Here is a 12,315-nt window from a genome sequence, read left to right as displayed (position 1 = left end):
ACAAAGATAATTGAACTCACAGAGAGGAAGGTATAACCTGAAATGATTTAGAAAATTCATCATAAAAGTGTGTCGTTATATTAATTTAGAGAGAAAATCACTTTTTTATTTACTCATCTCTAATGAATTCATCTCCATCCACTGAGACAGGCTAGGGACCAGCAGAACGTTAATGATGAACATGTCAAAACTTGGACTATAACCTTGTCACATTCACCATAAGACTCTCAGCCGTTCTGAACAATTTTCTTGACGTGCTTCAAATCCTCTATGAGAGGATTCTTTTAAAAGCCATTTCGTTGAAAGATAAAAGGAAAATTATTTGGGAGAGTTCCTTTTAGTCATTTTCAAAAAAATGTGATGAGAAAAGTAATGCATATTCATGGTAGAGAATTTGGAGTATGAAGAAAAGCATAAAAAAGGAAATAAAAATTATCCACAACTCTACTTTTCCAAAGTAACAGTCATTAATCATTTGGCTTACCTTATTTCATTCTCTTCGAATCTTTATGAAATTATTACCACAGTGTAAACAACTAAAAGTTTTGTGCTATTTTGTTGACTGAAACATTTTAAATCATAAAGTCCTCTCCAGATAATGTTGACTGTTTTATATTCTAGCATATATATTTCACAATCTGTCTATCAAACTTTTACTGTACAACATTTAAGTTGCTTCTAAGCGTTTCTTCTTATCACATTTTTCTTATCAATATTGTCATTTATAACTGTGTAGATGATCTATTGTTCATCTGGTGACTTGGTGAGAATAGATTCTGAAAAATGAAATTCCTGTGTTAAAGGGTGTGCTTTTACCAACATGCAGAAAAGTGAAAAAATGAAAGTGAAATTATAAATGAATTTTCCATGTAGAAGACTAACAATTATAAAGATTTTGGTTATCTATGTGTCCAATGTTTGAAAAACAAGTTTATTGAGGTATAATTAACATACAATTAACTGCATAAAGTGTATAATTTGGTAAGTTTTCAAATAGGTATACAGCTGTTAAACCATCATCATAATCAAGATCAGAAACATGCACATCACCTCCAAAAGTTTTCTTGTGCTCTTTGGTAATCCCATTGTGATGGTTAATACTGAGTGTCAACTTGATTGGACTGAAGGATGCGATATTGATCCTGAGTGTGTCTGTGAGGGTGTTGTCAAAGGAGATTAACATTTGAGTCAGTGGGCTAGGGAAGGCAGACCCACTCTTAATACCGGTGGGCACAATCTAATCAGCTGCCAGCAAATATAAAGCAGGCAGAAAAAAAAAAAAAACGTGAAAAGGCTAGACTGACTTAGTCTCCCAGCCCACATCCTTCTCCTGTGCTGGATGCTTCCTGCCCTCGAACATTGAACTCCAAGTTCTACTGGCTTCCTTGTTCCTCAGCTTGCAGATAGCCTACTGTGGGACCCTGTGATTGTGTGAGTTAATATTACTTAATAAACTCCCCTTTATATATTTACATCTATCCTATTAGTTCTGTCCCTCTAGAGAACTCTGCTAATATATCCACCCTTCTTTCTACTTCTCTCTGTTCCTCTTACCCCATACCTCATATAACAGGAGAATCACTGACCCCCCTCTTTTGTCACTATACGTTAGACTGTATTTCCTAACTGTGCAGCATACTACAAAGAAAGAGAGAAAGGAGAAAGGAGGGAAGGAAGGAAGCAAACAAGCAGGAGTGGGAACAAGTAGAGAATATAGACAGCAGATTCTAACAAAGTCTTGGGATATTTAAATCATTCGAAATTAATTATAAAGTAAGCATGTTTTAAAAGTACCTTTTATTTTTAAGAAGTAAAAGAAGGGGTTTATTATGTGACTAAGAAACAAAAGACTATGTAAAATTGTTAAGCAGACTTGGAAATAAAAAACTCTATAAGTCTTAGAAAGAAAAATATAATTATTGAATATAAGAACAAATGGCTATTTTAACAGCTGATTAGAAACACCTAAGAAACAATCAGTGATCTAAAGATATGGTCCACAATGCAGGAACAAATCAAAGAGAAGGAAAATATAGACTAGGGTTGGAGATATGGAGGATAGAATAAGAAAATATATCTTATTTCTAAGTGGAATTCCATGAGAAGAGGAGAAAGAGAATGAGGCTGACATAATATTGGAAACAATAATAGGCAAGAATTTTCCAGAACTAGTGAAAGACATTTCCAGATTCATGAACACTAATGAATCTGAAAAAGGATAAATAAAAGGAAATGTGGGCTGGGTACGGTGGCTCACCCCTGTAATCCCAGCACTTTGGGAGGCCGAGGTGATGGATCACGAGGTCAGGAGTTCGAGACCAGCCTGGCCAACATGGTGAAACCCCGTCTCTACTAAAAATACAAAAAATTAACCAGGCGTGGTGGTGGACACCTGTAATCCCAGCTACTCGGGAGGCTGAGGCAGAGAATTGCTTGAACCTGGGAGGTGGAGGGTGCAGTGAGCTGAGATCTCCCCACTGCACTCCAGCCTGGGTGACAGAGGGAGACACTGTCTCAAAATGAAATAAAATAAAATAAAAATAAATAAATAAATAATACATAAAAGGAAATGTGCTGCTATGTATGTATAGTGAAATCATATGTAATTAAACACAAAGAGAAAACTTTTAAAATAAGAGAGAAAAGACAGAGTACCTTCAAGAGCATAACAATAAAACTAACAACCAAATTCTTACAGGCAGCAATGAATGTAAAGATCTGTGGAATAATACTACACTCTGCTTAAAAAAATTTAGAACTAAATAACCATCAAAGTATTATTCAAGAATGAAAGCAAAATATGAACATTTCAGGCAACAAATAAACAGAGAGTATTTGGTACCAACACACCCTTACTGAAGGAAATTATAAACAATTACTTTTTAGGCAGAAGGAAAACTAACACAGAGGGATGCAGGAAGGTATGATGAGCAAAAAAAAAAAAAAAAGTTAACGACTTGGGTATATTTAATCAACCTATTTAATAATTATCTAGGCATAATAACTATGTGTAGGATCTGTTTTATGTGTTTGGAGTATAACATTGAACAACCACCACAATAAAAACTTCTTGCCTTCATGGGGCTTACATTAAACAAATATTGACTGCATAAAGAAATGATGATAACGTCCCGTTTGTGAATTAGAAAAAAAAAGATGACTAAAATACAGAGAAACAGGAATAAAGTCTCCTACGTACTTACATTGTTCTGAAGGCGAGTAAAGATATAGCTAAAAGTAGATTTCGTAAGTTAAGCATATGTGCAAATTTTCTGCAGGATCATGAAAAGAATAGAGATCAAGTATAAAAACGTTCAAACTCGGCCGGGCACGGTGGCTCACGCCTGTAATCCCAGCACTTTGGGAGGCTGAGGGCGGATCATGAGGTCAGGAGATCGAGACCATCCTGGCTAACATGGTGAAACCCCGTCTCCACTAAAAAAAAAAAAAAATGCAAAAAATTAGCTTGGCATGGTGGCGAGCGCCTGTAATCCCAGTTACTCAGGAGGCAAGGCTGGAGAATCGCTTGAACCCGGGAGGCAGAGGTTGCAGTGAGCTGAGATTTCAACATTGCACTCCAGCCTGGGTGACAAGAGAGAAACTGTATCCCCCCACCCCCCAAAAAAAAAGAAAAAAAAAAAAGCAGGAGCAGAATATGGTAGGCATGATTACAGACACTAGTCATTACAATTAAAAATTAACTAAAAGTTCCAGTTGAAAAGCAAAGACTGTCATACAGGAACAAAGCAAATATCAAATCCAGTTAAATGGATTTATAAGAGGCACACCTCAATTAAAACTATACAGGCTGGCATATAAAAATATTTATATATAGAAAATACAAACAAAGCTGGTTTAACCATATTAATAAAACATGAAATAGACTTTAAAGACTGAGTAGTATTGGAGATAGAGAGTCACCACATAATTGTAAGAGTTTCACTTTACCAGAAAGGTGTACTGAAGATATATTCCAAGAAAATGTAATCATTCACTTAAGAACATAATATATATGTTAAAATGTATAAATTAATATTTGACAGAATATGAAGAGAAATATACAAATAAACCACCTTAGTTGTAGCTTTTCAACACTCTTCTTACAAACTGATAGATAAAACAGGCAAAAAATTAAAATTAATAAGTACCATACATAAGATTTGAGAAACACAATGAAGAAACTTGATCTTATGTACCCAACAATTTCAGAATACAAAACCTTTCCAAGCACACATGGAGCGGTGATGGAAATTAATAACAAACATACTGAACCTTATTGCAACTCTATAAATTTTAAAACATTGGTATTATTGGAAACATTTACTTTAATACAATGTGGTTAGATGTGTTAGATTAAGATTATATGTAAGACCTTATTTAAAAGACAATCCAAATCCAAAAAACAGGATTAGTTCACTTACTTAAAAAAAATTACCATTAAGCATATTTTTAAGGGTTGCCAGTTTTTCATTGAATGGTCATAGATAACTACTTTACTGTTTATGATTTTGGTAAATTAATTTTTTTGCTACTATAAATATCAAAGTGATAAACCTCTTGTTATATAAATCTTTGTAAAAGTCTAATTATTTTCTTAAGGATGTACTCCCAGAATTTGAGTTGTTAGATCAAGATTACAAATTATTAAACCTAAGATTCCCTATAGCTATTACCAAACTGTCCTGCAAAAACAGTTTATTCTGACTAGCAGTGTATGAGGGTGACTATTTTACCTAATATTTTTGACAAAATTATCAGGTGAAAGATTGTATCTTATTACTTTAGCATTTCTTTGATTACCAATTACTCATGATGTTCAGTATGTTTTCATATGTTTCTTTGCTATTTTATGTGTTCTTATTATTTATTTAATTGCATAATCATGCGCTTTGCTACTTTATAAAAACTGACTTGAAGAATTCATGTATCAGAAATCAAATTGCATCACACCTGTTGAAGGTATTTTACCTAATTAGCCAATAATCTTTTTATCTTATTTATTTTGCTGTTGTTAAAAATGTTTTCTATTTAATGCATCAAAATCATCTTTCCTTTTGTAAGGATCCTCCCTTTCATTTTTTTTTTTTTTTTTTTTTTTTTTTTGTCTTGAGAGACAGAGTCTTGCTCTGTCGCCCAGGCTGGAGTGCAGTGGCGCAATCTTGGCTCATTGCAACCTCCACCTCCCGGGTTCAAGAGGCTCTTCTGCCTCAGCTTTCCAAGTAGCTGGGATTACAGGTGCATGCCACCATGCCCGGCTAATTTTTACTTTTTTAGGAGAGACGGGGTTTTACCATGTTCACCAGGCTGGTTTCAATCTCCTGACCTCAGGTGATTTGCCCGTCTCAGCCTCCCAAAGTGCTGGGATTACAGGCGTGAGCCACCATGCCCAGTGTTTCCCTTTCATTTTTAAATAAAAATTCTTGAAAAGTTCTGCTTTATCTAGAGATTTATTAACCAATAGCTTTCTCATTTGTCATGTTTCAATTTTAATATAAACTCTCTAGATTACGTGAAATTGAAAAATTATATATATATAATTTAATATATGTATTTAAATGGTTCTATACATATTTGAATGATTTTGTATATATTTAAATAGTTACATATTGTATTAGGCCATTCTTGCACTGCTATAAATACCGGAGACTGGGTAATTTATAAAGTAAAGAGGTTTAATTGGCTCACGGTCCTGAAGGCTATACAGTATGCATGACTGCTTCTGGGGAGGCCTCAGGAAACTTTCTATCATGGCAGAAGGCAAAGGGGAAGCAGGCACATCTTACATGGTCAGAGCAGGAGGAAGAGTAAGTGCAGGAGGAGGTGCCACACACTTGTAAACAACCAGATCTTGTGAGAACTCCACCCCCACGATCCAATCACCTCCCACCAGTCCCCACCTCCAACACTGGAGATTACGACTCCTCATGAAATTTGAGTGGAGACACATAGTCAAACCTATATATTTAATTGGTTATATATGTAAATGGCTAATAGATATATATTCTTTAGATGGTTATTTCCCTACTGGTTAATGATACTTTAAAAAATTAAATACTAGTCTTTTTATATGATAAAGTCAATTTCAGGGCCATCTGTTATGTCCCTTGGCTTGTCTGCTCACCTGAAGTTAGTACTATATTGTTTTAAAGACTATGATTGACCCATGACAATATTATCTGGTATGGCAAGTCCTCCTATATTACTTTAAAATTATAATCATATTCTTTGCTATATTTTTCAGATGCACTTAGGAATAACTTTGTCAAGTTTAGGAAGAAAATCATAATTGGATTTCATTGGAATTTAGTAAGGTTAAAATTTTTTAGATACATTTTATGCCTTACTTATGTTTTCAATTTATCCTCCCATTGAAGAATACACATATACCTCCATTTGAAATCTTTGCCTGTCACTCTGAATCAAGGTTGAAATTCCCTACATACTACAAATTCCCTACTTAACTACAAAGCCTTCAACTTTCTAAGTGTGTGTGTGTGCACGCGTGCACGCACGTGTGCCCGTGTGCTCACATGTACATAGAGCAAGAGCAACAGAAAAAGACTTATGTTTTTATCCTTATTACATATTTGTAATTATTTTATTCAAATATATTGCCCCCTCCCATTTTCTGGTTCCTTCAACTGAATCAGCTGTATTTCTGATCCCTATTCTCTGCCCTTCATCACATTCTCATTCTCTATTTCTCTCCCTCCCTCCCTGCCTCCATCCCTCTCTCTCTCTCTTCCTGTATATATTATATATAATCTATAGATTTTATATATATATAATTTTTCATCTATAAACATTTCTTCCTTACTTATATACAATTTTCTTCACCTTTTTCTGTCATATAAGACTATAATAGACTTCAATGCAGCTTTTATATCGCTAGCTGTACTTGAGTTTCCTTGTCTTCTTTTCTCATTTTGACAAATCCTTTTGTATCCTTGTCATTCATCTCCAAGGTTTCTTTCTAGGGCTCCCAGCTTTTAATCAATAATTATAATGTTTTCTTACTTCTTTTTGAGGACATGGAGATGTCTTCTAAACTTTTTATCTTTTGAAGTGGAAACATGCTTAAGGAATATGTTGCTACTCTGAACTTTCCGGAAAATATTTCCATTCTTTGGTAATATAGAATAATTTTAATAGATAGTATCTAGAAAAATTTAAATATAGATCGTTTTCCCAATGGTAAGAGACTCATTCAGGCCTGGCATATGCCCAAAGCAAGTGGAGTGCTTTTAACATCTTGCACTGTGGTCTTGGCTAGACAGATTCCAAACTGGAGTGTGTGTGTGTGTGCGTGCATGTGTGTGTGTGTGTGCGTGTGTAACTAATAGGAAGCTTGGAGAAGGTATACCAATCCCAACTCATCTGCTACAGTGTGACCCCAGGAATTCCCCATCTGATAAAATGTTTAATATTTCCTTTATCTGAGTGAAATGATGAGTGATATGTTACAGAAATAGAAGTACATGTGTCCCAGTGTAATGCTGCAATTAATGCTAAATAACTTTAACATGCTCCCAAATCCTTCACTAAGTACTATTTTATCATTTGAAGAATGATATTGTATGAAAAGTAGAAATAGTGAAAAAAACTGAAATCTACAAATGAAATATTTGCTATGAACTAATACTTGGCTTACCACAATGGTTAAGGGAAATAATTGTCAGTGTCATTCTTCCTAAGCTAGCAGGACATACAAAAGTTTAATATTATTTTTTCATCATGATTAATGTGTAGATGCTCAGTATTAAATAACTTTTCAAACAATAATAACATGTATTTAATTATTTTTTTAAGAAGAGATGTAAACACAATTTATACTGAAGTTTGGTCATGTTCCTCGGTGAGACCACCACTGATGAATCCAGTTCATGTTGAGCTTGAGCTTCCTTTTCTCTAAACTAGTATATTTAATTACAAAACACACAAGTTGGCCCATTGACATATAGGACCTTATTCTGCACTTTACATGTTTGTATCTGTATTAGTCTGTTCTCATGCTGCTAATAAAGACATACACAAGACTGGGTAATTTATAAAGGAAAGAGGTTTAATGGACTCACACTTCCACATGGCTGAGGAGGCCTCACAATCATGGTGGAAGGCAGAAAAAGAGCAAGGGTATGTCTTACAGGGCAGCAAGCAAGAGAACTTGTGCAGGGGAACTCCCATTTATAAAATCATCAGATTTCAAGAGACTTACTCACTACCACAAAAACAGAATGGAGGAAACTGCCCCCATGATTCAGTTATCTCCACCTGGCCCCACCCTTGACAGGTGAGGATTATTACAATTCAAGGTGGGATTTGGGTGGGGACACAGCCAAACTATATCAGTATCTCTTCCCTCAAAATAAACAGCATAAAACTTAAAAATAGAATATGGATCATACCCTGAATACATTTAATGTTTTCCCTGACCCACCTCTCCGGGCCCTAAGTAACAGTAAGCCTATAGCAGATCACGCCAGAAAAAATGCCAACTCTCCAAACTCATAGTCCAAGGGGATTTTATGCACATTCCATTTTTGGTTTCTGATTTAGCATTAAAATTTTTAATTATGCAAATAAAAGTGGTAGACACAGAGGAAAATGTTTCATAAACTGATTGAAAGAACAGTGTCAATCAAGGGTCTGATTTTATTCTTTTCTCACACATTGTAAAATGATAAAATCTGCTTTAAAATGAAAGATTTATATAAATCAATTCATTTCTGGTATGCATTCATCTTAAAACTATAATCAAGCATATTAAAGTAGAAATTAAAACACTCAGATCTAAAGCCCAATTTTCCCATTTAATAGAGAGGATTGTTCAAAGTATCATGTTCTTTCTTTAGCTTCCTCTGGTCTTTATTTATCAGACCCTGACATTTAAAGTAATGCTACTTGTTGTTGACTTCATTGTAAACATAAACACAAACTTGAGCACTTATGTTATGCAAGTGTACATTTTGGTCAGTCAAGTGATGCAGAATACACTTGTATGACTTTTTAAAAGTTATAATCAAAATAAAAACACACAATTCATGCACATAAATTGTGTGTGTGTATATATATACACGCGTGTATATATATACACATATATACATATATACACACGTGTATATATACACACACATATATGGATACATATATGTATACATATATACATATATACACACATATACATATATGTATACATATATACATATATACATATATACACATATGTATACATAGATGTATACATATATGTATACATATATACATATATACACACATATATACATAGATGTATACATATATACACATATACACATATACACATATATACATATGTGTATACATGTATACATATATACATATGTGTATACATGTATACATATATACATATGTGTATACATGTATACATATATACATGTGTGTATATGTATACATATATACATGTGTGTATATGTATACATATATACATGTGTGTATATGTATACATATATACATGTGTGTATATGTATACATATATACATGTGTGTATATGTATACATATATACATATATGTATGCATATGTGTATGCATGTATACACATATATACATATATGCATACATGTATACACATATATACATATATGTATACATGTATACATATACACATATATGTATACATGCATACATATATATGTACACATATATGTATATATGCATACATGTATATGTACACATATGTATATATGCATACATATATATGTACACATGTATGTATATATGTACACATGTATACATATATGCATACATATGTACACATATATGTATATATGTACACATATATACACATATATATGTATACATATATACATATATGTATACATATGTACACGTATATACACATATATGTATACATATATGTATACATATATATACACACATATATATATATATATATACACACACACATATATATATATATATATATATATATATATATATAATTTTTTCCTCAGAGACCTCATAGCTTGCTTAGGATACATCCAAACACAAAATTTAATGCACAGTGACATAGAGCAATTCTACTTAAAAAGCCTACAGAGCACAGCCAGTTAACAAATTCCTTTTGTTGTTCTACAATAAAAGTATAGAAACTGAGAGTGAACATTTAGTAAATTTCACAGCAATTTGATAATATCTGTTAAATGAAAAAAAATATTAAAAGCCCTGGCTTGTATTTTTGTATGTCTTTTTTTTGGTAACATCGTTGTTTCTAGTTATTGATATTTATGGTATTTTACCAAAGTATTGGTCCTTGAGAGATTGAAAATTAAAGCAAAATGAAATTTTTAAAAACCTGGTCTGCCACCTCAGATAATTTGAGAAGCACTGGTATATTTTATTGCTACTAATATTATAATTTCAAATGTTAAATCAAAATACTCTTTTACTTTCTCATCTAAAAATCAAGCTTGGAAAACATCAATCTGGCTTTTCAAATTCTCAGTTTCACCATCACAGTTTTCCTCTGATAATTCTACTAGAGGCTAGCTACCGAACGCTCCATGCCGATTTTTTTCCCCAATGATGCACATACTGAGCAAGCTGTTCAAATGAGTGGGATCAAACTTTGGCCAATGGCCCCCACCAAATCAAACACAGACATACACATGAACACGTAGACCTTTTGGATGCTATTCTTAAAGTTCCCAAATATTACTCGTGAATATTTAAGTGTTTAAAACTACGATGTATTAAAAACCATTCAATTCATTATATCAATAATAGAATTATATTTCCTGTAACTATAAATGATTTGTGAATTAAACATTTCCTGTAATTCCAAACAGCAATTTTAAAATATGGTATAAAAACTTTAACAGGATATAAAACTGAGTATATAACTTAAAACCACAACTAGAGAGTCCTTTTGTATCTCTCCAAAACCTTTGAGGAACACCACCACCATGCCACTTGTAAAACAGTCACCTACTGAACTTACTTTGATCGATCTTAGTTAAGGACTGACCAACATCACCTTCTCAATAGTTAAAACATTTCACAAACTAAATGCTAGCACTTAGTAACATTTTGCAAAGCTGATAAAACTTAGAAGGATTATTCGAAAGAACCTCACATCAACACACTATCATTTCTAAATGTCAGGGACTTCAAGCTCAGCTCATAAAAATGAAGATCACACTTAGAGACAATGCCCTTCTGAGATAAATCTCTCTCTTTTTAAGTCCTGTGGGTTGTGGGGGATGTAGTCTCAATCCTGATAAAATGACCTCCAAAAGCAGCAACGATTTTAAGGTTATGTGTACTTCCCTTTAAGCAGATGGCACAGAAGGGCTCAACAGGTGTCCAGGCATTGCTTGCAACTTGTGCTGGTTCTGCCCTAAAAATCATGCCCTCCAAACATCTGCCTCAAAAACCCATGTGATGTATTAAGGGAAGATTTTCAGAACAAAATTGTGTTAATAGTCCCTATCCTAACTTATTTTTCAATAATCTCTGTACATTTTAGATACATACAGTCCAACAGGAAAGGAGATCCAGTATTTGGGGCAATCATGAAGAGATATTTTGGAAATACATGCCTTGCTTGAATCTAGAAACGAAGCTGTTTTTGTGTCTTTAAATTATAAACTAACATTAAAAGATGAGTTTTTTTTTTTTTTTTTTTTTTTTTTTTTTTTTTTGAGACGGAGAGTTTTTTTTTTTTTTTTTTTTTTTTTTTTTTTTTTGAGACGGAGTTTCGCTCTTGTTGCCCAGGCTGGAGTGCAACGGTGCCATCTTGGCTCACCACAACCTCCGCCTCCCAGGTTCAAGCAATTCTCCTGCCTCAGCCTCCCGAGTAGCTGGGATTACAGGCATGCACCACCACGCCTGGCTAATTTTTTTTTTTTTTTTTTTTGTATTTTTAGTAGAGACGGGGTTTCTCCATGTTGGTCAGGCTGGTCTCGAACTCCTGACGTCAGGTGATCCGCCCACCTCGGTCTCCCAAAGTGCTGGGATTACAGGCGTGAGCCACTGCGCCTGGCCAAAGATGAGTTTTTTCTGACTAATGTAATCTTTATTGAATTAAATTTCAAATTAAAAGTCAGAATACCTTATGAAATTTATGCATAAATATTTTGAAACAAAACTATATTGCTAATTTGGCAGGAGAGATTTTATCATTGCTTTTCTGCATATATATAAATGTGTGTGTTTGTGTGTGTGTCTGCATGTGTGTGTGTGTGTGTGTGTATTTGGGATATGAGTCTCCTATAATACAGAAAGAAACAGAGATTTTAAAATGGGTAACTTTTGTTGAAGGAAGTCATATGGTAACT

At 33.6% G+C, this 12,315-nt stretch overlaps 1 protein-coding gene across 3 annotated transcripts in view; it reads right to left on the bottom strand.

The window, feature by feature from the left end:
• Window positions 1-12,315, bottom strand: part of IL1RAPL1 (interleukin 1 receptor accessory protein like 1) — a 1,369,273-nt gene that overhangs the window by 143,994 nt on the left and 1,212,964 nt on the right. The gene's annotated exons all lie outside the window — the stretch shown is intronic.

Source organism: Homo sapiens, chromosome X (genome assembly GCF_000001405.40).
Source record: "Homo sapiens chromosome X, GRCh38.p14 Primary Assembly".
Taxonomy (NCBI): domain Eukaryota; kingdom Metazoa; phylum Chordata; class Mammalia; order Primates; family Hominidae; genus Homo; species Homo sapiens.
Note: the sequence above shows the minus strand (reverse complement) of the source record. Positions and strands in the feature narration are given on the sequence as shown.